The 24,889-nt window shown below is 38.0% G+C and overlaps 1 protein-coding gene across 6 annotated transcripts in view; it reads right to left on the reverse strand.

Annotated features, from left to right (window-relative positions):
- The window catches only part of DCLK1 (doublecortin like kinase 1), a 363,288-nt gene that overhangs the window by 325,675 nt on the left and 12,724 nt on the right, over positions 1–24,889 (reverse strand). For all 6 annotated transcript variants that reach the window (NM_001330072.2, NM_001330071.2, NM_004734.5 and 3 more), the window contains exon 3: positions 17,543–17,889. In NM_001330072.2, coding sequence (NP_001317001.1) covers positions 17,543–17,889 — 347 coding nt within the window. The remainder of the gene's footprint in view (positions 1–17,542; positions 17,890–24,889) is intronic.

Genomic DNA, 24,889 nt, shown 5'->3' on the forward strand with positions numbered 1-24,889 from the left:
GTCATTTATATTCTGCTCCTTGTTCACCTCCTATATTTAACCAATGGTTATGAATACAAAATTAACAACAGATAGTTAGAATAAAACCAATTTAAAGCAATTTAATGGTCAAAACCAGGAGCTATCAGCTGTTGGTGTTCTGTTGCGTTATTAAACCAACTCAGAAATGCGGACTCTTACTTGATCCCCACTAACTGCCAGTCATGGGTAGTTGCTATACACCCTGTGGCTGTAAAATCAATTCCTTTTTAAGGAAAAAGTTTCTAAGCAATAATTATACTTTACTTACAGTTTTTAAAGGGTATTAAGACAAATGTCGTTACTGCACCACATTCCTAAACCCCCTAGTGGCTCCAGAGCTATCAGCCGGGAAGCACTTTACATTTTGAAAATGTATTGCTCAGGACAAAATGATGAAGAGCCCTGGAGAGCATCTGCTGTGAAAGAAGAAACAATTTCGGGCCAGGAATATGATTTCCTGTAAGTGAAATAATCACATGAGAAGAAAAGTGAAATTATCTCACACTTACTGAAGGCTCAAGTGATGGGGAAAAGTTAAGATGGAAAAGAAAAATGAGGAGCAAAAAGGAAGCAGGAGTGAGGAAGCAGGTGTGAGGAAGGACCACATGTCTATGTCTTCCCTTATGCACAAGCACTAGACTTTTTGTTCCAGTAAAGAATTTCCAGCAAGTGACAGAAAGCAAACCCATGCCCAGTTGAACTGAACAATTTCTCTATGAACAGAAAATGTTTTGTCAAGAACCAGAAATTTCTTTTGATAATCAGTCATGAATGAACACAGGTGGCAGAATGTATCCTCTGATATCTCTCTATCTCTCTCTCTTTGTTTTTTTTTTTTGTTTTTTTTGTTTTGTTTTGTTTTGTTTTGTATTTTTTGAGACAGAATCTCACTCTGTCGCCCAGGCTAGAGTGCCGTGATGTGATCTTGGCTCACTGCAACTTCCGCTTCCCAGGTTCAAGTGATTCTCATGTCTCAGCCTCCTGAGTAGCTGGGACTATAGGCATGTGTTACCACATCCAGCTAATATTTTGCATTTTTAGTAGAGACGGGTTTCACTGTGGTGGTCAGGCTGGTCTCGAACTCCTGAGCTCAGGCAATCCGCCCGCCTCAACTTCCCAAAATGCTGGGAGTCCAGGTGTGAGCCACTGTGCCCGGCTCTCTCATATCTTTCTGGGCTCAAACTCCCAAATGTTTCCAAAAAACCACTACTTAATGCAAGAAAATTAAAGATGATCTAAAACAAGACTTGATTTATGTCACCGGATAAGTAAATATCATGGACATATAAATTCCACCACCCCTTCCCCCAAAATATGAGAGTCAAAGACTGAACACTGCTGAGAAACATAGTAGAAAAATTAAATGCTACCTCATCTGAGAAGCATAACTTTCTTGAGGATATGGCCATAGCAGTCATAAGATTCTCAAAGGGGAATGCAAGCCCCAAAATTTAAGAGCCATTGTTGTAGATAAAATAAGAAAAACTAAATTAAAGATAGAGGATTTTGTCTTAAATTCCTGGAATTAAAAGAATTTTTCCATTTCATTGATATTATTTTCTGTTGTCAGCTTTAGCTAAAGGAAATTACAATAAACCATATAATAAACAAACTAAATCACTATTTTATTTAATTTCAATTTAATAATAAGACCTATATAATAAAGCCCCCAAAAGAGAGGGTTAAAAACTATAAACAAGTTCCATTGGTTTTGAAAGGGTTTTTTGTATGTAATTTTCTTTAATGTAGCTAACCACCACCAAAACCCCTTTGGTTCTTTGGAGAGACAGATTACCAAGAAGGAGGTCAGAAAGGGAGAAAAATCTGGGAAGCAATCTCAGTTCCTCACTAACCTCAGAACTATGCCTAGATATAAGCCCAAGGCCTTTGAATCTCAGCCAGAGACCAGCTTTTCTTTCCCATCTTGTAAGAGGCTTCACAGGGGAGACCGGTCCTTGTTTTTGGTTTAGAGATGGCCTTGAACAAGAAAAAGAAGATAAGTATACACTGAATACACAATCTTTTCTGGAATCCAAAGGCCAGCAGCATCTTAACACTGAAGTACAAAGGCATTTTCAATGATGGTTCAGTGAACATAATCCCCCAGGTGCAGCTTTACTGTACGGCAGAATATTAAAATGCACAATTAAGTCTCTTTCCTTGAGAAGAAAGAAATAGGTAATCTTTTAAAAGTCCTCAAAGATCTTGAATAGCAAAGTGATGAAAGGACAAGTGGGAAACTCACCATGAAGAGGGAATGACAGAGATTATGAAATAATTGGATCTCATCCAAGGAACAGACAAAGCACATGGAAGCCATATTTTAACTATGAAATGCAAAAAGATATACACAGCTTGAAATATGTTAATATCATGTGAAACCTAATCAGCTTATAAATGGTATTTTGGACTGTAACAAAGCAAATGTCACCAAATGGGGCCCCAAGAAGGTAGGAGAGAAGAATAGACCCCAAGGAAGCATCCCTAGGGCTTAGAAGACAGTAATTATTCCATCCTGCCATGAACATGAAAGCTTTCTTCTCCTGGATACCTAAGTCTGGAGTGAGCTCAGAAATGCCGTATGTGCAAAGAGTGCAAAGATAATAAGTGGCTCACAGTGCTGAAACTGGCTACATAACCTCTGTAATAAGTTACTTATAAAACCTCAATAAAACCCAGAGCTAGTCAAACCGAGCTGGAGAGGATGGAGGCTACAGTTACAGGTTAAAGGCGATGAACTTAGTGAATCCATAATTACACAAATGACTTAGAAGGTAGAAAGGAGACTTTTCTATAAAAGCAGATAGAAAAATGAGGTCAACATTTAAAAGCTGATGTGACTAATAAGCAGATCAGTGGCTGCTGGGCTAGGGGTGGGAGCCCAGATTGACTGCAAATGCAGATGAAGGAACTTTCTTGGTCAAAGTGTCTAACACTGGAATGTGGTGATGGTTGCATGATTCTATGCATTTATTAAAATCATTAAATAATATACTTAAAATGGGTGCTTTTTGTAGTACGAAAATTATAGCTTAATAAAGCTGTAATCATTTTTTATTTTAAAGTTGACATGTTTTTAAATTTTGCGATATTCACACTCTATAAAATAGTTGTACTGTATATCTCTGTGATGTGTTAGTTACATTAAAAATGTTCTTTTTCCACTATTGGGAATATAAATTTTTATAATAATCTAAAGTAAGATTCTTAAGTTTTTAAAATTACTCTAAATGGATTATTTTCATAATCATTAACAATCCAAATAGGAATCAAAATAGCAAGAAACACTTAGAAGAAATTGAAAGAAGACATTTCAGTAGCTTTCTCAACATTTACTGTCTTTTGGCAACCCAGTCTAACCCTTTTAACAGGGTAGTATATTAATCTCAATGTGTTTAAAGACTGACAAATCACAGGAATTTGATAATTTCAGAAGAAAAGTATTTTTAAACTCCAGCAGGCACACCAATAAAGCTCAGCAATAAATTGTGAGCATTCTTACCAAAAAAAAAAAGATGCACATGAATTTTATATACTTAAAGTATTTGGAAAACACTATATAATGTCAGATATGACACTGTGGTTAAGAATGTCAGTCTGCCTTGACCAGGTACTAATCACTTGGGCCAGTTACTTTCCCCCTGATTCTGCATCTGTGAAAGGGAGATAACAATAGTATCTACTCCCATAATACTGTTAATGGGGTAAAAAATCGAAATTTTAGTTAGTGCCTGGCATACGGTAAACATTCAAGAAACACTAGCTGCTATTCTACATTTATTGATATTATCCCTGGGCTGGATTCAACATACAAGATGATTTTATTCTTTTCTACAAAGCCTCACCCCCAGGGACAGATCCGGTCCTTTACCTTCCTGGAATGCCAATTACTCAGCAATCTTCACGTAAACTGGAGAAAATGTTTCCAGCTGTTGTAACAGAAAATGTCTTCCAACTTTTGATTCATTACACAAGGTGTTATCACTCATTTTCTGGCACAGAGCTGGTGCACTATCCCAGAACTGATCTGACACACTTTCTTCAGCTGATGTCAAACCAAATTATAAGGCAAATAGGACAAACGAAAAGTCACATGAACAGAATCCATTTACAGTGGGGTCATTCACACTGGTCCTTCCAGGTGAGAGAAGCACTGAGAGAGAGAGATTTGCAATTATTTAAATACATAGCATAAAGCTTCACTTTTGTCTTCAAAAAAAAAGTAATTTTAAGACCTAGAAAACACAGTTGCCAATCCTCAAAATAGATCCACATTTCCTCTGGTTCTTCCTCTATTTCTCTTGTGCCCCAAAATGTAGGTATGTGGGTGTAAACATCTCCAAAGTCAAGTTCTCGTGCATTTTGATAATCTTGTAAAGTTTTGAAAGTAACTTCCCTCTCACGTTAACTGATGGTAGAAAATGAATGGGAACTTTACACACCTGATTCCCAATACATCTTAATGGGAAAGTGCAGGCTCATAAAACTGAGGGCTAGGACATTTAGTATTTATTTTAAGGGCTTCTAAAATATGCCACAAGCTTAGAGTACAGGGACTAATTTTAATGGAAATCTGTTTATTAGCATGCTGGTACACAAAAGTAGGCTTTTAATATTATTTGGATTTTTTTTTTTTTTTGAGAGAGTTTCGCTCTTGTTGCCCAGGCTGGAGTGCAATGGCGCGATCAAAGCTCACTGCAACCTCCGCCTCCTGGGTTCAAGCGATTCTCCTGCCTCAGCCTCCTGAGTAGCTGGTATTACAGGTGCGTGCCACCACACCTGGCTCATTTTTGTATTTTTAGTAGAGACGGGGTTTCACCACGTTGGCCAGGCTGGTCTCAAACTCCTGACCTCAGGCAATCAGCCTGCCTCGGCCTCCCAAAGTGCTGGGATTACAGGCATGAGCCACCGCGCCCAGCATTATTTGGATTCTTAATGTGCTAGAAGTGTTATTAATTCAACTATAAAATAAAACACATCTTTCAGTTATTTAAAGTACGAAGGCAATGTTACAGTGTTTCGGCAGTCACATTTTCAAACAGTACAAGGACATCCTCAAATAAGATTAACTGTATCAATCATCTCATACTCCCATGAACATACAAATGTGAAAATGCAAGTTTCTCTAGTAATGAAACTTGCAGTGAGTCTGAAAGGACTCTTCCCTTAGGATTCTGTTGTGAGGAGTTCTCCCAAGTCTTCCACTGCCCACTGAAAGAAAACTAAGGTATTCCCAATGCCTGGCACAGAATCCATGCTGAATCGATGTTTCCGGATCTAACAAGTCTACAAGGACTTGCACATTTTAAACATTAAAAGACATTTATGTTAAAAAGCTAAAGCACAATCATCTTAATAAAACCCAGGTGAAACTCTTGATCCAATTTGGCAAAACCAAAGACAACTCCGTGAATAGTCTGTTCACCTAACAGGCTTTGTAACAGGTCTTTGTTTTTTATGGTCACTGTCAATAATTGGCACTCTGTACAATACAATAATACATGAGATTAGATTTTCTCCAACTGAACGTATCCCAGAGGCATCATAGCATGATCTTCAGAAATTCTCCCTTTTCCTATAAACTGTTGCCAAATGCAGCAAGGATTTAATCAATGGATGTGTTTTTTTCTCAATACACAGTGGCTAAGTCTACCAATTTGACACACAATGTAAATAAAGAGAAAAGCAATTTTTGCTATATAAGAAAACGATTGGCCGGGCATGGTGGCTCACACCTGTAATCCCAGCACTTTGGGAGGCTGAGGCAGGAGGATTGCTTGAGTCCAGGTGTTCGAGGCCAGCCTGGACAACAGGGCAAAACCCTGTCTCTACAAAAAAAAAAAAAAAAAAAAAAAAAAAAAAAAAACCACACACACACAAAATTAGCCAGGCATGGTGGTGGACACCTGCAGTCCCAGCTACTTGGGAGGCTGTGGTCAGAGAATTGCTTGGGCCCAGGAGGTGGAGGCTGCAGTGAGCCAAGGTCACACCACTGTACTCTAGCCTGGGTGACAGAGTGAGATCTTGTCTCAAACAAACAAACAAAAATGATGATGTTACCAGGAAACAAAATACAATAAGCCTGCGCTATTCCTTTCACAGGAGACCAATTCCAGAAATGGCCTGAGAAATATGTCAGTAATTTTACTCTTCCCAGGGGCACTGTATCAACCAACGACAGAAACGAACCTTTTACTGGTTCTTTGTATACAGACCCCACTTATTTCTAGGGCTTATTATTTTTTCCCTAATTTAGAGCTATAACCTCAGAAATGGAATTGACCTTCCCATTCAAAAAAGGCCCTGTTAATGGGGTCGCTGGGCATTGTATGGCTTTTTGCAAAGCCCTGTCTGCCCTAAGTCATGGGCAGCCCCTGCCAGCTGCCAGCTGAATTAAATAGGCGACACCCCCTCAGTCTCTTAACCTCCCAGGCTGTGTTATAAGAAAATCACTCTAATTCTGATCACTAGGTGGTTCCTTCACACCAGTTTATCCCATCCATTGTTGTTTTCCATAGTCAAGTCTGCAGTACGTAAGACTGTTGGCCACTAAATCCTTGGGCATGTCTAGAAAATTATTATAGCTGGAAATTATTTTCAAAAGTTACCCCTCCATTCCTGCACACCTTAAAAACAGCCCACATCTTTCCGGGCATCGTCCATGTTGGGAATTGTCTCATGCGTAGGGACTCCATCTGATAATAGTTGAAGATCTAAAATCGGTTCTCAGGACCAGTTAATGACTTCCATTCATTCCCACAGAAGACACCCGGAAGCAGCACAGGGATCATATTCAGTTTGTGCAGCGTATTGAGGGGAGATACAGACAACTTCTAACAGCATGCACATGCACTTTGTGGCATTAATCTCTTCCTCGGGATCCGTGTTTCCACAGTGTTTGTTCAGCCTTCCTGACTCTTTAACCTACGTTTATTCTCCATACAGGAAGCCATTCACCCTCCACGTGAGGCAGCCCACTGAGGCTAGATTGCAGTGAGAACACATTTCACACTAATGCACTGGCTGCTTTCCAGAAAATTGCTGCTGGCAATCATATCTTGCCATCTGATGTCAACATTGGCATTGAGAGGATGCTAATAAAACTGCGAAATCAGCTAAAACTAATGTTTAATGCATCTACCACGCAACAACAGCCGGGGTTCGCCGTCTTTAGGGCTTTGAATTCTGATGTTCCATTCATACTCTTCAGTCTCCTGAGCAGCTCTTCTGAAACTTAAATGTGAATATACACAGCCTGAGAATCTTGTTGAAATCACATTCTGACTCAGTAGGTCTGTGTGGAGCCTGAGGGTCCGCATCTCTGCCTGCTCCCTGGTGGCCTTGCTGCTGCTGTCCCGGGACCACTCTTGGTACTGAGGTTTTTATTTATTTAATTTTTTTTTTCTTTTGAGACAGAGTCTCACTCTGTCGCCCAGGCTGGGCTGGAGTGCAATGGCACCATCTAGCCTCACTGCAACCTCCGCCTTCAAGTTTCAAGGGATTCTTCTGCCTCAGCCTCCCGAGTGGCTGGTATTACAGGCACCCACCACCACACCTAGCTAATTTTTGTATTTTATTAGAGATGGGGTTTCACCGTGTTGGCCAGGCTGGTCTCGAACTCCTGATCTCAAGTGATCTGCCTGCCTCAGCCTCCCAAAATTCTGGGATTACAGGCATGAGCCACCGCACCTGGCCGATAGTGAGGTTTTTAAGAATACTGATGAAGCATACACCTGTGCACACAGCACGACTCTTTACAACTTATTTCTGTTGTGTAAGCAGTTTCTAGCTCCCAGACTGTCACTCTGAAAAGGCATCAGAAGGAAAATGTCTAGTCTAATCTTTTTTTTTTTTTTTTTAAGCTAGTGCTTACCTTGAGTTATTTTCTTCCTGGAAGATTTTTTTTTTAATAAAAAAAATCAATTTTATGTTACTATCTGCCAAGGCAACTTTGGTTTATGGTCTTCCAAGTAGAGAAAAAGGGAATAGAAAGATCTCTTGTAGGGGCACTCCTAGCCCTGTAATCTACTTGTTAAAGGATGAGCCAAAAGTTAAAACTAAGAAATGTCATTTAACAAATTGTAAGCATCTAATGAGGGTAGTCGTGAATACAGAAATCAACAAAGCACTATCTTCTTTCTCCCAGATATTTTGGTCTCACACAGGTGTACAAACAGTTCTAAGGCAAAGCAGAAGTGATTATCCACAGAAAGAGAACTACCTTGTGTTTTTCCCTCAGGGAGGAACTCATAAAGATCATGGTGACTGTGCTCCCATTGACCTAAAAAGCCTGTTACCTGGCATGTACAAAACAAGACTGGACTTATGGAATCAGACACGTTTTGAAAAATGTGACTTTTTTTCTAAGAGGATTCTAGACAAAGCAGATGGAGTCTGAGATAATTTTAACCTCCAATAACTGATTACACTGAATAGCACCTCAAGAATTGCTACTTTACATGCTGTTTGCTTCTCGATCGACTTTGGAACATGATTACTATCAGCCGTAAGTCAGAAGATAGACAAAAGAGGCTCTACAGACAAGTCACAAGACAGGAAAGCACACTGGGAAACTTGGCTTCAGGGGATCTGACCCTGGACAATGAAATAACAAAGTTAGAGAGGGAATGGCTTGATACGTTTCCCACATAAATGTGCAGACTCATGTGAAGGTGCCAGCAAGGAGCCAAACTGCACACAGAGTGGGATCTGTGGGGTTTTGTTGTTGTTGTTATTGTTGTTTGTTTGTTTGTTTTTAAAGAAAAAGACAGGGCCAGGTGCAGTGGCTCACGCCTGTAATCCCAGCGCTTTGGGAGGCTGAAGCTGGCAGATCACTTGAGGTCAGGAGTTCGAGACCAGCCTGGCCAACATGGTGAAACCTTGTCTGTACTAAAAATACAAAAATTAGCTGGGTGTGGTGGCACGCGCCTGTAATCCCAGCTACTTGGGAGGCTGAGACAGGAGAAATCACTTGAGCCTGGGAGGTGGAGAGGTTGTACTGAGCTGAGACTGCACCACTGCATTCCAACCTGGGAGACAGAACAAGACACCTGTCTTAAAAAAAAAAAAAAAAAAAAGACAAAGGAAAAAAGACCGAAATATGAGCAAGGGTCATCTTCTCAATGCGACTATGGGTAATTTTAACTTATCTTAATATTTTCCCATTTCCTTCAAAATTCTTTACATTGATTATATATTAATCTTACAAAGGACAAGACCAATTAAAAAATAAATCTCCCATCTGTCCTTTTGTTTCTAAGGCATGTTGTTTACAATATAGTTCCTATTTAAAATTGGATTTTTAAAGTTCCATTTAATTTCTGAAACAGACTTCTTTCATTTAATTTAGTTTCAAGGATTTAAAAACTAATCAGGAAAATCTGGTGCAACATATTATAGTCTGCCACCACAGACACCCTTGAATACTGCAGGTTTGTGTCTCTGCAATAATTAGGCCAGATGCTTTTCATGTGCATCTCCTATTGGCCCACCACCAATTTTTATATCCATGGGACATATTGATCAGTTCTTCTCTTTATTCACTGGATGGCTAAGGCAATGTCAGGAAGGTTTACAGCAATTCTCCTGACTCAGACGGCGAGATGTTTCTAACAGAATATCTATTGTTCCCCCACAAAATGAAAGTGCTTTCAATAGCGAAAATGATCTAAAATTGGCAGATGCGTTCTTTTTATTTTCTATACTAGAGTCTTTCATGAAGAAGCCCTAGCTAGAAACAACCATCATGGTGCGGTGTGCATGGTAATGTAGTGTGTGGCCACGCTGCAGAGGGCACCATCATCATTTACAGCTACACATGACCACAGCCCAGGGTGACCAAGGCAGCTCCTATATGGCCATGACCCGTAAGGACCTTGCTGAATACTGGAGCCATATGCTAATGCCGAGTGGATAGACCACAGCAAACTGGTCAATCATCCAGCTACTTAGTCATTCAGTCATTTACCAGGTCAAGCTCTGGAGACTCAAAGGCCAATAGAACACCTTTCTTAGCCTCATCCTATAAAATCGAAAGGAGGAGACAGGCATTACAATAGACCAGCATAATGAAGATTTGCATGGCTACATACAATGTACAGTGAACAGGCTCCAAGAGAGTGAGTTGTCAATTTTATATGGGGAAGATAGGAAATATTTCATAGACAAGGCCACCTTTGAGCTGAATCTTGAGAAATGAGTAGGTTCTTGCTTTGCAGAGCTGGGGTTCAGTGAGATTACCTTCAATTATCAATGTAATCATCAATATAAATATATATAGCAACGAGTCCAATGCCAGGCACAGAGAAGGTATTCAACAAATGATACTAATAATAATATTACTTTCTCGGTGGGATGGATTGCCAATAGAAAGATGCCTTTAAGGAATGACCTGTACCATTGAAGAAGAAAGTGAATAAAATATCTGCATCGCATTCACAACTGACTGACAATAAATGGGATGATAAAAATACAGTTGTTAGTAGTTCAGGTACAGCAGATCAGTTGCAATGGAAACTATGCAAAATGACCAATTCTACATTCATGGTATTATACAACTACAAGGGTCTTACAGTTTTAAGAAAGCCTGGAATATGAGAACAGAAGGGAGAAGGACTGATATTTTTAGAGGACCTACCATGTGTCAAGCCAAGGCCTTTATATACATATTTTGTCAATTAATTATCACCCCAATATTATGAGGTATGCATTATTATGCCATCTTAAAGAAGAGGAAATTGAGATTCAGAGAGTTTAACTGATTTGCCAGAGGTCACACTACTAATGAGTATTCAAGTCAGGATTTGACTTTGTATTAGTTAAGTGTCTCATTTCGAATTCCATGCTCTTTTTATTATATCATGAAGCATTTCCATGTGAAAAGCCACATTTACAAAGGAAAATATGATTAGTCATTATAAAAGGATAATTTAAAATAGTGAGTCCCTTTGGCACATTAAAATATGATTTTTTTCCAAAAAAAATTTGTTAAGTGTCAGCTTTTCCATTATAACAACTACCAACAATTGGGTACCAATCACAGTGCTAAATTTGCCATGTGAATTGTTTCATTTAGTCCTCATGACAACTTATAGAGCAGGCATTATTATCATTATTATTATTCACAATATACAGATGATGAAACTGAGGATTATCAGGGTGTGAACTATTTCCAATAGGAGGATAAATTTCACTATGCCCAGAGTAGAGGACAGATTTGAACTCATCTATAATTCTATGGAACTAATGTTTTTCCTCTCTGTCATGTTATCATGTATATCTATGCTTAATTTATAGCATACATAAGCAAATTTCCTCATTATAAGTAAATTCAATATACAGAAATTTTAAACTTAACTAATCAGTAAGTTGGGTAGGCTAACTTAATTTTCCAGGCTTGGATGAAAAACCACAAGCTAGATTTTCCAGACTGAAATCTCAGTCCAGGCTCAGCTGAATTTTTTTGTTTGTTTGTTGCAGGGATAACTGACTGACCAGCTGACTTTAAAGTCCAAGTTCTTTCCATCATCCCAACATGCTCCTGCCAGACAGAAAAGGCTCACAGGCCGGGTCAGGGCTCCAGCTGTCATAGAAGCAAGAGAACTCACCACCAGAAGGCAATCACAAAGCCAGTAGACTTGTAAACGTCCCCCAAATGCTCTCAGCACACTATGGAAGGGCTTTAGAAAACCTATCTTCAGTACAGCAGTGGAACACTAAGAGAACTTAGAATTCATTTTACAGCGAGCTAGAATGCAATTTACAGAAAACTAACTTTTGCTAAAATGAATCTAAGCCTTAAAATATACATCACTGCAGGTACCCATAATTGATCACATCCTCAGAGGAGCTCAAAGTGAAAAAAAAAAGGACTTAAATCTTCCCAATTTGGAGGCACTAACATCTACATAAGGACAGGTATAGCTCATGAGTCCTAAATATTGACCAAGGATATGTGACCTAAAATAGTACATTCTATTCTGAACACTTTAATTCTGTAAGTGAAGTGTCATTACGATTCTTAAACTTCTTTTTCTTTGAAATCATCTATTTCCATCAATTCATAGCTCTAATAAATCATGAGGATGGTTTAACATGTGCTCTGAGCTTTTGTAGAGAATTTTAATTTGACATTTTAAAGTGTAAGCTAAATTACTTGTATCAACTGTTTTTTTACTCCAATCGCAAACAAAACTAAAAAGTATTACATTCCCTTTTGCTACATAGGTAGTGTAGCAAATCAATAGTACACATTCTTTATACCAAGAATGAAGGGTTTTAATATGCTTGCAGAAGTTAATTAGAACTGTCACAGAAAAGTTCTACTAATAAAAAAGGAAAAATACCACTGCTGCTAATAGCTACAGAAAACCTCCTTTCCCATTCCAAATAAATCCTATCAGATTCTAAATTTCTTACATTTTGTCTGGAAACCTCTAGTTTCCACATTTTCTATGCTTATCAACTCCTATAGCCAAGGTCAGATGCAATAATAATTTGTACCACTTTTTTAACTTGTAAGAGGAAGACATATCTTAAGCACTCTAAACCCAAGAGTCGACCAAATTATTTTTACTTCAGATTAGAATTAGATATTAAAGGCCAAAAAGAAGAAAATAAAGACCATTTTGTGATATCTGATTAATAGATTCCTATTAATCATCATTACCATTTCCTGTAATCAAGTAAACTCCTATATTAAACACCTAAAATAAATGGCGGCAATTATTGACTCATTTACAAGCATCTTTTGAGCTTTATAACAGGCAATGAGGATTCATGATCAAAAGATACAGAGAAGATGTAATGATGGATTAATTTATCAACAGCTACTGGGATGTCCTCAAAATGGCAGTTATGATGCTTTCTCATGGCTTACCATCGAAATCAGTTTATGGCTACCCATACTTCAGCTGAGTAATTCCTAATGTTTTCCATATTGGGAAAACAATAAATTGTTTGCTCACTCTAGCATGCTAGCAGTGGTAGATTTTTTTTTTTTTTTTTTTTTTTTTTGAGACGGGGTCTCACTCTGTCGCCCAGGCTGGAGTGCAGTGGCGCGATCTCGACTCACTAGCAGTGGTAGATTTTATAAAGTACATGGCCTATGTGAAATGTCTATAAGATAAAAATATAACATCTCTGGGTTTTTTTCTCTTCACTAAAGCATGCTGCAATGTTGTACAGATCTTTGATGTTGAAAAGTAGATAAGATAGGGATGTGCATTTATTTTCTACTTAAAGAGCAATCCAGTTTGTCATTGCTGTATTTCAGTGGGAAGGGGATCATTGGGAAGTGCCCTATCTATGTTCTTTATAGTATAAATCACCTACTTAGGCACTAGCTGTTCTATGTTTCTAAGGACGGATTCAAGAACCACAGATTTAGCAGCTCAAGAAAGCCAGATTTGCTTTTCCATAAAAGGAGTCAGGAGATATGCAAGGGTATCTTTGTAGCAAATCTGGTAACTTTTAGTCTTATTTTAAGCACTTAAAAAATAGTTATACTCCAAATGGCCTCTGGGAGTAACTGCTTGGCAGGTTAAGTGAATAACCCACAGCAAAGTTCCAACATCCAGAGCTTGGACTTGGGCAAGAGGAAGAGACTCTCAGACTCTAAGATCCTGCAGATCCTCCCCTTGGACATGGGTTCAGGGGACATGATTTTAACTGTTAGCTAGAAAATGTCCCTTTTTCTTCTTTGGAGGTCTTTAACCAAGGCCCAGATTTAAAAAAAAAAAAAATGCATCACTGAAATTAAGGCATGGTAAGTGCTTCCTTGAACTGCCAGCCATGCCAGCAAAAGGACTGATGACCTGGTGAGCAGTCACCCTGAAAGTTGCAAGGAAGAGGAGGAAGGTCGGGGCAACCATTTGCTGAAGCTTCAGTGCCCCTGAATAAAGAATGGAGTTGAAATCATTAGAAAGGGTTTGCTCACACATAGGCTGCTTATGAACCACAACGGTCATCTTGGCCAATTGCAGCTTCCTGCAAAATCTTTTCTAGATTGTGCAGCATTTCCAAAACGTTTATTTCCTTATCTCAGTCTAAAAACATCAAAAAAAGTACTGTTCAATGAACTCTTTGCTTAGGGCTAACACAAACCCGAGAGGCAACTGAGCAAGGAGTGGTGGTAGAAACAAGTGAGAACAGCATGTGGTCTGTGCCCTCCGGTGTCCGTCTCCTCTGGGTAAGATATTAAACAGCAGGCTCCGGCTTTCATGGTTCCATTGTCCAAAATCCCAGCGTCAACAGTTTTCATGCCATGGATACATCTGTAGGCTGCCCCAAGGCAATCTACAAAACCATCTTCCTCTCTACGCATTTACTCAAAGCACTCAAGCAATTCATTTTTTAAACAATTCTATTTCCTCAACCCAAAAACATGAAATTCTTTACTGGGCACTGGAATTCCCATATTGTTTATGGAGTTGATGTGAGGGTTCAGTTAAACTATTTTTTAAAAAGGTGGGACAAGTAATCTTAGGGTGGCATCTTGTTGGCAGCATATGGACCCCGATGCCACCACAGGCAGGCCAAGATGGTAGCAGTGCAGGTGCCACCCCACTATGGCCAAGCGTTATTCCACAGGACAGCGTGGAGGAAACTGATTTATTCTCAGAGGCTTATCAAGCCTCAGTCTCTGCCAGGGTTGTCAAAAATTCTACTCTAACAAACTGCTTATGGGACAGATTTCTCTTTTGAGCCAAAAAGATTCTAAAGACTCCTGGGGTCCATGAGGAAGCATCTTTGTTCTCACTGGGAACCCAACGAATAAGTCTTTATGTTCTTTCCACTTTATCATCCAATTCCTCTGCAGCTTTTCACTGATCCTGCTATGAAGAGAACATGCCAACACTAGGGGAAATGCCACAGCAGCAAACTGAACGCTTGACAAAACAACAGTTGAGTACAACAGTCAGCAGAATGACTGCAGGGAAAAAAAGGACAGAGCAGAAATGTTTCAGATGATATTCTTTGGACAAATTACTCCCTTGACAATTCTTTCTCAATACATTTACATCAGTTTGGTGCCTTAACATAATCTAAAGTGGTACAGTGGTTACCAGCACAAGCTCTGGAGCAAGACCAGTTTAAATCGTAGCTGTGTGGTCTTGTGCATGTTTTTAACGAGTTCTGTGCCTTAGTGTTCTAATCTGTTAAATGGGGATAATAAGCAAGTTGTTATGAGGATTAAGCATGCTAATACATGCAAAGCACTTTGAACAATGCTCAATAAAGCTATCATCATTATAGTTCAAAATTGCTATTGCATGTATCATCATAGTTGACCCACAGCACTCTATAAAACACAGGTAATCATTTTATCTGTGTTTCACTGATGAGGATAATGAAGCTCAGTTAAGTGTTTTGCTAAAAACATAAGGAATCTACGGCTGAGCCAAGACTTGAATCCTGGTTTTTTGACATTAAACCTCGGATTCCGTCCCATGACTTTGGATTATTTACATGTAAACCACAGTAAACTAGCCATTATCAAATATTAATTCTAGACAAATTCAGTAAGGAAGAAAACAACTGAGAACATCATACCTATTGTAGGGATTTATTCCTGAAATAAACAAAATTAAATAATCAGCTGATGGCAAATTTTAGCTAAAGTCATTAAAGCCGATTTTTAGATTCAGAGTAGCATTTTGGAACTCCCAAAATTCTGAAGTGCAGCAGGGAGAGGGAACATTTATCCATATGTATTCTTTGCTCTAATGAGACACTTTATAAAAATATTTATTTGAATAGGTAAATATTTATGAAAATAGATGAACTCCCATCTTGAGAAAATTCAATATATGAAAATTCAGAACTACAAGATGTTTGAATAACTCATTAGAAATGGAGCCAGTGAAGGGCTTACAAAATGTGTAAAGGTGAAGTTTGCCATCTTATTGCTACTATAATTCACAAGCCAGCATGAACTTTCTGGTCATTGATAGATTTACGACATTTAGGCTACAGACTCTTAAATATAGAAGACTAAGTCTCATTCATTAGAGAATCTCATCCATTAGAATCCTTATCCGCATATTACTTAGGGCAAGGGTTATAAGCCAAGCAAAAGATGGTAAATACAAATGAACAACTGGCACATATTCCTTCTTTCCTAATGAATTTTATAATTTAGAGCATCTGAATGGATCCCTAAGGGAAGTATTCTTTCATGACTAATACTCTTTCTAGGATTAGCATCTATTTCTAATTCAGAAAGTTTGAATGCGCTAGCCTTTAAGAACTTGGAGGAGTCTTCTATTTAATAAGATCAATCTTTTAATTCATGGATCATTTTAATTTTAATATTTACTATACATACAAATCATTCAAATTATCCCTCAAAAAAAATTTTTTAAAAAAGCATTTTGATAGCACCACATTAAAAACTAAACTTCCAGCAAAGATAGTGTGCTCAAAAGTATAATCTGGTAAACTCTGAATGACTAGCAAATCATGCTGTACATATAATCAATTTTTTTTTTTTTTTTTTTTTGAGACGGAATCTTGTTCTGTCACCCAGGCTGGAGTGCAGTGGTGCGATCTCGGCTCACTGCAAGCTCCGCCTCCCGGGTTCACGCCATTCTCCTGCCTCAGCCCCCTGAGTAGCTGGGACTACAGGCGCCCACCACCACACCCAGGTAATTTTTTTTTTTTATTTTGAGTAGAGACGGGGTTTCACCCTGTTAGCCAGGATGGTCTCGATCTCCTGACCTCGTGATCCGCCTGCCTCGGCCTCCCAAAGTGCTGGGATTACAGGCGTGAGCCACCGTGCCCGGCCCTAATCAATGTTTTTTAATTCAACTCACCATCAAGGTTCTGTCAAACCTGTACAAAAATAGTCCACCCAAGACAATAAAAGGTGATGCTTCCTTTGGGTTCATCTGACCAACTCACATTAAAATGACCACCCATCCAAGTCAACTGATGTTCATTCTGTAGCTGAAAAACCTCCCTTTCATTTTAACACTGAAAAATACAAGATGCGTACTATTCTAGAAATATGCCTTTAAAGCTATCCAGATGGAAATATGTCATTTCTTAGATACATATTTTAAAATCTATAAAATGTAAGTAAATCTCACTAGCGAACACTACAAAGACTTAAAATCATAAAATATTTAGGTCAAAGAAATAAGTTAGAATTTTCCCTACTGGTCAGAGTTTACTTTCACACCTCAGTCATTCATTCTTCAGGCTATAAGATCTATGAGAAAACTGAAAACAGATGACAGAAAAGAATCATTATGTTAAGCAAATAATAAATGAACAAGTAGAAATCACTGAGTAATTATTTAATCTTCAAAGATATGCATTTTTTTCTTACTTTATTCCTATGAATAATCCTGCTCAACTCAAACTTCTGACTGTTCTAGGGCCAGCAAGTACATATTTGTTGATCAAGTGACCCAGGCCCTTTAACAACTTGAGCAAAATGTATGCTTTAGCCACGTACACCCTCCGACTCCCTGGTTCTTGCCTTAAAGTCAAAGTCACATCACAATATGTCTCTTACCTGTTTCCCATCCAACGTGTACAGGCGTTTCACCACTCCCGAGTCCAGCTTGATGGCATCGGTGATATCGGTGAGGACCTGCTCAAAGGAATGAGCCGTTTTCTTGTTCAGCAGAATCCTGACAGCTTTCCGTGGCTTCACGCCACTTCTGATGATGGTGACCAGCTTGGGCCGAATGAAATCCTTATTCTCTCGCACCTCTGAAGGGCTTCCTTTGGCAGTGGCCAGTGAAGACACTGCCCGAGAAGCCGAGGTGGTCTTGACGTTCACCGACCAGTTGGGGTTCACATTCTTGGTGTACTCCAGTTTCTTGAAGGGCTCTATGGAGCCACATACATAACTCTCTCCTAAGGAAGAGAGAAATATATTTAAATTTATACTAAAATATGCCCATTTCTTTTTTCCTACTTATCCTCTCTTTTGCCTTTTCTGCTTAGGGGCAAGAGCTAGCCCTGACTTTTCAAACAATGGAAGTGTGATTAATAATTAGGGAAAAAGAAAGATTTCTGATTGCTAATCTGGCACTGTCAGCAACAGATCCACATCCTGGAAAAACAAAACAAAACATTATTCCTCCATTTCCTCATCTTAAGGTCGGTGATAGAAATGCTGATCTACTTGAAAAGACCTTAGAGAAGTGTGAAAGTGAATTTAAAATAGAAAATATTCTTTGGGAATTAGAGATACTTAAATCTGCAGAAAATTTCAAAATTGGAAGTACCTCCATTTGCTACCTGAGATAATTTAAACACTAAGAATGAATCAGAATACAGCATCTTAAAATAGTCATATAATTTACGAATTTGATGAGAGTTGATGCTAAAGATTTTGTAAAGCCCAGTAAAGTTCCAAAAGCAAGCAAATAATCACCCTTCCTTTCTCTCATCTATATAGTGCCAATCACAGTGATCCACACATACTATAAGGTCAATTCATACTTGTTCATAAGTAAGAGGTTTTAGAAGTGTTCAACATACAAACTACAGCTTCAAAAATGGGCTCTAAAATAAATATAAGTAAATGTTTATTAAAAGTGACTCCTTAGCAGGAAATCTTTTAATGAAAATAATCAGACTATTAAGTAGATGTAGATCACACACACAAAAAAGAAAAACATGAACCAAGAGACAACAAATTGTAAAATGACGAATTCTAAATACATATTTCATAAAGTTAGGTCAAAGCCTTTTGAAATTAAAGATTTTGTAATGGCTTTTTTTCTGTGTTAATAAGTTTTTGTAACTAGGAATAGGTAAAAATGCTGAAAGACCTTCATAATTGTAGGTAAAATGACCGAGGCCTAATCTAACACAGCCCATTGACTTTTATCTAAGTCCTTGTATTATTTTTAAATTCACAGTGCAAGCATCCAAGGCCAAAGAATAAGTAGTCACATAAAAATAACTGAAGCAGGCCTTCAAAAGTTAAAAAGAGCAGTTATACATGTTACTGAACACTTGTTTTGCAGATGTTCTTAAAATATTCTCTAATGTGTATACATACACATTATGCCTCACTAGAAGTTGTATGAATAGTGCAAGTTTAACCAACCCCATTTCTATTCACCTGGCAGATCATGACTTGTCTCAGCTATGCCTTCCTCAGGATTTAAGTAAATATCAAAAACTTATATGTATTTTTGATATTTTCTTAAATCCTGAGAAAGGCATATTTGGGTACTATAGAAACAGCAGTGTTTTGGGAGTTTTCATGGAGTGATGACCTGCACATGATAGTGGGAAGAGAGAACTGGAAATTCGGGCTCAAGACCTGGCCTCTCCAAGCATGTGACTTTGGACAAGTCCCTCAGATTTCTGGGTGGTAGTTTATTTATCTATAAAACAAAACCTCATTAGGTTTTTCTGAAGATCAAATTAGAAGATAGAGATCAAAGTGATCTCAAATACAAACCTGCTATGTGAGTGAAAATGACCTGAGGCTACATACCCTAATCGTGCAGTAAGCCTGAAAGAAAAATTCAAAAACAAAATTACTAGAAATCGGTAAGCAGGTCTTATATTGAACAGTTACCAGTGGACACCACGTTGGGTCCATGTCAATGTGAGAATGCCCTAACACTCCCCAGTGAGACACACAGCATGTAACTGAGCTGGCAAAGCTAGCCTCTGTCAGAATTCTGTGCTAACTGAAGATATGCAATTGTCTGATTATTTATAAGTTTCTATACTAAGCTAATAACTAAAAGCAAAACAAAGATACAGAGAGCAGTTTACATTTCAACAAAAACTTTAAAAATATATTAAATTAGAAGAGGGAGCAGTTTTAAAGAACATAGCAACATGGAGTGAGTTTGTTAAAAGAGAAAATAAACACTTTTTAAAAATATCTTCTTAGATAAAGCACCCTGAAAATGTTTAAAAGCATAAGAAAGTTCTCCAGTTACACTGAGAAGGCGTTGCTGGTTTGGTTCAAGCAACAATGATCAGAAGAAATATGTGTTTAATCTGAGCTGTAAATGTGAGGCTCCTCTGCTGGATAATCAGATTTAAAGACTGGAATGAGAATCTTAGAGAAGGATGTGAGACTCCAGTAACAGATGATACTGTGCTAACAGGAAAGCAACAGCTAAAGGAAGGAGAAGGAGCTGCCACCAAATCCAAGATCACACACCACAGTCATTTAGAGTCTGTGACACTATTCAGGAATTCAGGAAAGGCCCAGATGGATTTCCTTATGCTAATAAATTTCCATTGATTTCCTTATGCTAATACATTTCCATTTTATCATGAAAAGAAATTTCCATTAAATCTTTTTAAATCTATGTATTAACTATTTTTACAGTAATCATAACACTGAACTTCTCTCTGCCACAAGAGATGTGGTTCCCGCCTTAATGCAGTTAAATTAAAGTTGGTTGTATTTTCTGATTTTGTAAAAAATAGCTTTTCAATTCATGGGCTAATTATCATCGATTATTATAAATTAACAAACGTGATTGTTCTGAATGGGAAGAATACATAGTTTTGATTTGGTCAAGTAGCTCTAGATATCCAGTGTTCAATCTCTTCCTTAGTGTGACTGAGAGTTAAGAGATAAGTTATAATCTTGTTAAAATAATCATTTTTAGAGTGCATTCAAGTATTGACATGAGGTATGTGTGTTAAGTGCCATTTAAAAATAACAAGACAGGGCCAATCATGGTGGCTCACATATGTAGTCCCAGCTACTTGGGGGGCTGAGGTGGGAGAATCACTTGAGCCTGGGTGGATGAGGCTGCAGTGAGCCATGATTGTGCTACTGCACTCCAGCCTGGGCAACAAAGCGAGATCCCATCTCTCTTTATTTAAAAAACAAACGAAAAAACAAACAAAATAACAAGATAAAGTAAGCTTACAATTACTGTAGTATACTTCCTCTTACATACACTAAGCCACCCCACACCCCGAAGTCTTTTGGTATAACTTCTACTGCAACAATGAAATAAAAGTGAATTTATCTTAAACAAACAAACAAACAAATAAAAAAACACAAGGTATTTTTGAGCAAAACAGCCCAAAATTTGCTTTGGAAGCTTTGCATTACTTCCTATAGGTGAACTTGAACAAGGATGGCATGATTGCAAAGCTCTTAGCGGTGGTACTAGAAATTGCAAACATCATGATTTTCTGGTTGGTTATCATACAACCAGTTTTTCTTGTTTGTTTGTTTGTTTTTTCAGTTTGTTCAAGCCCTAAGGATTCTATGATAAGTCTGATTCTTCACTTGAAATGTAATACTCTGGGTGTCTAAGACACTCCAACAAATAGCAAGATGCTGAAGCAGCATCTGGCTGAATTTTGTTGTGGCATTTAATGAAGGCCAAAAACTAATCTTTGTTTTTAAGTAGAGAGAGAGATAAAGAAAATGACAGTTTTTTTAAAAGTAAGGAAATAAGCATGAAATTATGTTTGGATCCAACTAATACTAAAATGTCAGAATATGGTAATTTCTTTCCTGAAAGATTTTAGTATTTTCAGAAAGTTGGAGGATGAAATAATATCTAAGTAAGCATACTAGATTATTTTTAAGATACTGAAGAGTTCCTGTGTAAAAAATCACCTATGTATTTTTATTTTTATGTTTCATTTTTTATGTTTTTGAGACAGAGTCTCACTCTGTCACCCAGGCTGGAGTGCAGTGGTGTGATCTCAGCTCACTGCAACCTCTGCCTCCTGAGTCCAAGCAATTCTCCTGCCTCAGCCTCCTGAGTAGCTGGGATTACAGGCATGCACCACCACACCCAGTGAATTTTTATATTTTTAGTAGAGACAGGATTTCATCATGTTGGCCCTCCTGGCCTCAAACTCCTGCCCTCAAGTGATCCGCCCACCTCAGCCTCCCAAAGTGCTGGGATTATAGGCGTGAGCCACCGCGACTGGCCTGTATTTTTAAATGATCATACTGGCCATTATTCTTCAAAGCATAACAATACATTTCCTCTAATAAGATTTATTATTTTAAAAATCTGTGAAGTTAATTCTACTTTGCCATTCGCTTCCATTATGAAATTAGAATATTTCCACTTAAAATGGTTCCCTGGGCACTACTGAAAACTGACAATGTGGTACCTGTTCCCTGGGTGACTGGGCCTGCAGTGTGTCAGCTATAAAAGTGTTCCTCCACGAGACTCTATATTGGGGGATTCTACAAATTTGCCTCTTATTGTGGGAGTTTTTTCATTGGCTAAGAGTAAATTCCAGTTCTGATACTACTTAACTTCAGTCTGAAAATGACCTCATCTCCATCCTTCACATTACTAGAGCTGGTTGTTACCTCCTCTAGGCTTCCTTTAAGATCAATATGTGGCATAGTCAAAAGCATCCTTAAGTGAAGGATATCCGTAATATATTTCATTTTTCCAGAGGATAAACTTTCTGATTAAAAACTCTGGCAATTAAATTTCATTATTGTGAGTTATGGCAAAATCTAGGAAAAACTCAAATATGTATTGAAACCTCTGCAACTGAACTGAATTAAATTACATGAAATATTGTTTACAGAATAGAATATCGTAAAGTACCTTCTGGATATTACATTTTATGAGGCAACTCAGATACGCACAGCAACATTTCATAATCTACCTGGAAGTCACTGGCTTAGGATGATTTTCATTGAGCTATTAAAGGCAAGAAAAAATATTTCCCAAAGGTGCTTATGGGTCATTCTTTTGCAGAAGTCTTCCGTAACACAATAGAACATAAAAGTAAGCTTATAGAAAATGAACTTGAATGTGTATGTCAGACCTGTGGACATGTCACCTTCTCAAATCCAAAGCAACAGAAAAACAACATTAAGGAAAAAAAAAATGAGAGATCTAAACTTTTTGAAATTGAAAAGTAGAGACTCTTTTACTTATTTCTTATTATAATAAGCATGGCTTATTATAATTTACAAAAATACAGGGTACAAAAATAGATGGCAAAGGATAAAAACAAAACAAAGAATATATGGAAAACACATGGAGGGTGCTTAAATAGTAAGCCAAGAAATGCAAGTTAAAGCAGATTTAAGATGTACTCTTGTACCTATTATAATTGCAACAAAAGAATAATCAAAATAAAGTGGTATTGAGGTTGCAGCAACAAAATAATACAAGGTGCTAAAATATATGACAAAGGATAAACACACAATAAAGTATAAATAGAAAACACCATTACAGACATTAAAATGGTAATAATCATTTTAAAAAGTAACATGGAAAACTACTTGGAGCCACGAAAATGTTTATACCCATAATCTCATTGCTAAAAAATTTTGCATAATAACAAAACAACAAATAACAAAACTGTGACAAGCACACACAACATTAACAATGAAACCTAAAAATTAAAAACAACCTCCTAAATCCTGAGTCATAGGTGCAAGACCTAACTTAGCCACTCTGGGAAGGGAAAGAAACCTAAGTCAGGAGACTATCTTCAAATAGGTTAGAAAGCAAGATGTGTCTATGAAAAGATTCCACCACAAGGCAGTAAGTAATAATTGCTAAGTAAGTGGTCTAGGCCATCCTAATTCAGAGGAGAAAGAAGTCACTTCCCACTTCCCACTGGGCTATCTATGAAAGGGAAATGGAATTCACACTGGCCTTGGAAGCAAGGGTAAGATTACCATTGACAAAAAAGAGAGGGGAGAACATTCCAGATAAAAATAAAATAATAATATGCTCTGTTGCACAGTACAGAAAGGGATATTCTCTGATATATTAAAACATTTTCTCAAAAAAAAATGAAATAAAAATGATTCCATAGACAGACGAGTTAGATAAAACCACATCAGGCAACAAGGTCAGAGTTTTACACATGATCAGCCCTGGGTGATAAACAGGTTGCACTGGCTGCAGTGTGAATGAGGGGCTGAAGTGAACATGGGGAGAGAGAAGTCCAGATATCACCTAGAAAGTCATCACAGCCGACCAGGAGAGGAGGTGAACTGAATGTTACGTATCCACACTAGGGACAGAGGAGTGGATGTTACGAGGAGTACTTAGCAGATACAACCAGCCAGAATTGGCAATTGACTGGATGTGGGTTCCGAGGGAATATGAGGCAACAAAAACACTGAAGTGATGACACTGAAAATTCTCTTTGGGCCTACTTCCCATACACCACAATAGATACAATTAGAAGGGGAACAGGTTTGGATTAGGCAGTAAAGAAGGAAATTAAGTTGACTTTGCACATATTAAATTTGAAGTTCCTAGAAGCCAATCAGTTGGAGATTTCCAGCAAGCAGAAATAGGAATGGAGAAGAGAAAACAAGTTGGAGAAATGTCTTAGCAGAATCAACCGAATTTGATGATAGCCTGGATTTGAGAGATTAAGAGAGAGAGACGTTAAGGGTGATGTTAAGTTATGTGATGTCTTAGTCCTTTGGCTGCTATAACAAAAGACCATCAACTGGAGGCTTATAAACAACACACATTTATTTCTCACTGTTCTGGAGGCTGGGAAGTCCAAGATCAAGACACCAGCAGATTTAGTGTTTGGTGAGGGCCCCACTTCCTCACAGATGGTGCCTTTTCATTGTATCTTCACAGGGTTGAAGGGGCAAGGCAATTTTTGGAGGCCTCTTTCATGAAGCAATGAATCCCATTCATAAAAGCTCCAGCCTCATAAACTAATCACCTACCAAAAGCCCTACCCCTTAATACCTTTACATGTGAATTTTGAGGGGGTCCCAAACATTAGGACCCTAGCAGGTGGTAACACTATTTAATAAGAGCTGGAACATGAGAGAAAGAATGAATTCTGGAAAATGGAAAAGAATGAGTCCACAATTATACATGTTGAGCTTTAAAGAACTAAGGAAGAGAAACAGTTCTATATATCCAGGTAGTTGGAGTGCAGA

This window comes from Homo sapiens, chromosome 13 (assembly GCF_000001405.40).
Source record: "Homo sapiens chromosome 13, GRCh38.p14 Primary Assembly".
NCBI lineage: Eukaryota > Metazoa > Chordata > Mammalia > Primates > Hominidae > Homo > Homo sapiens.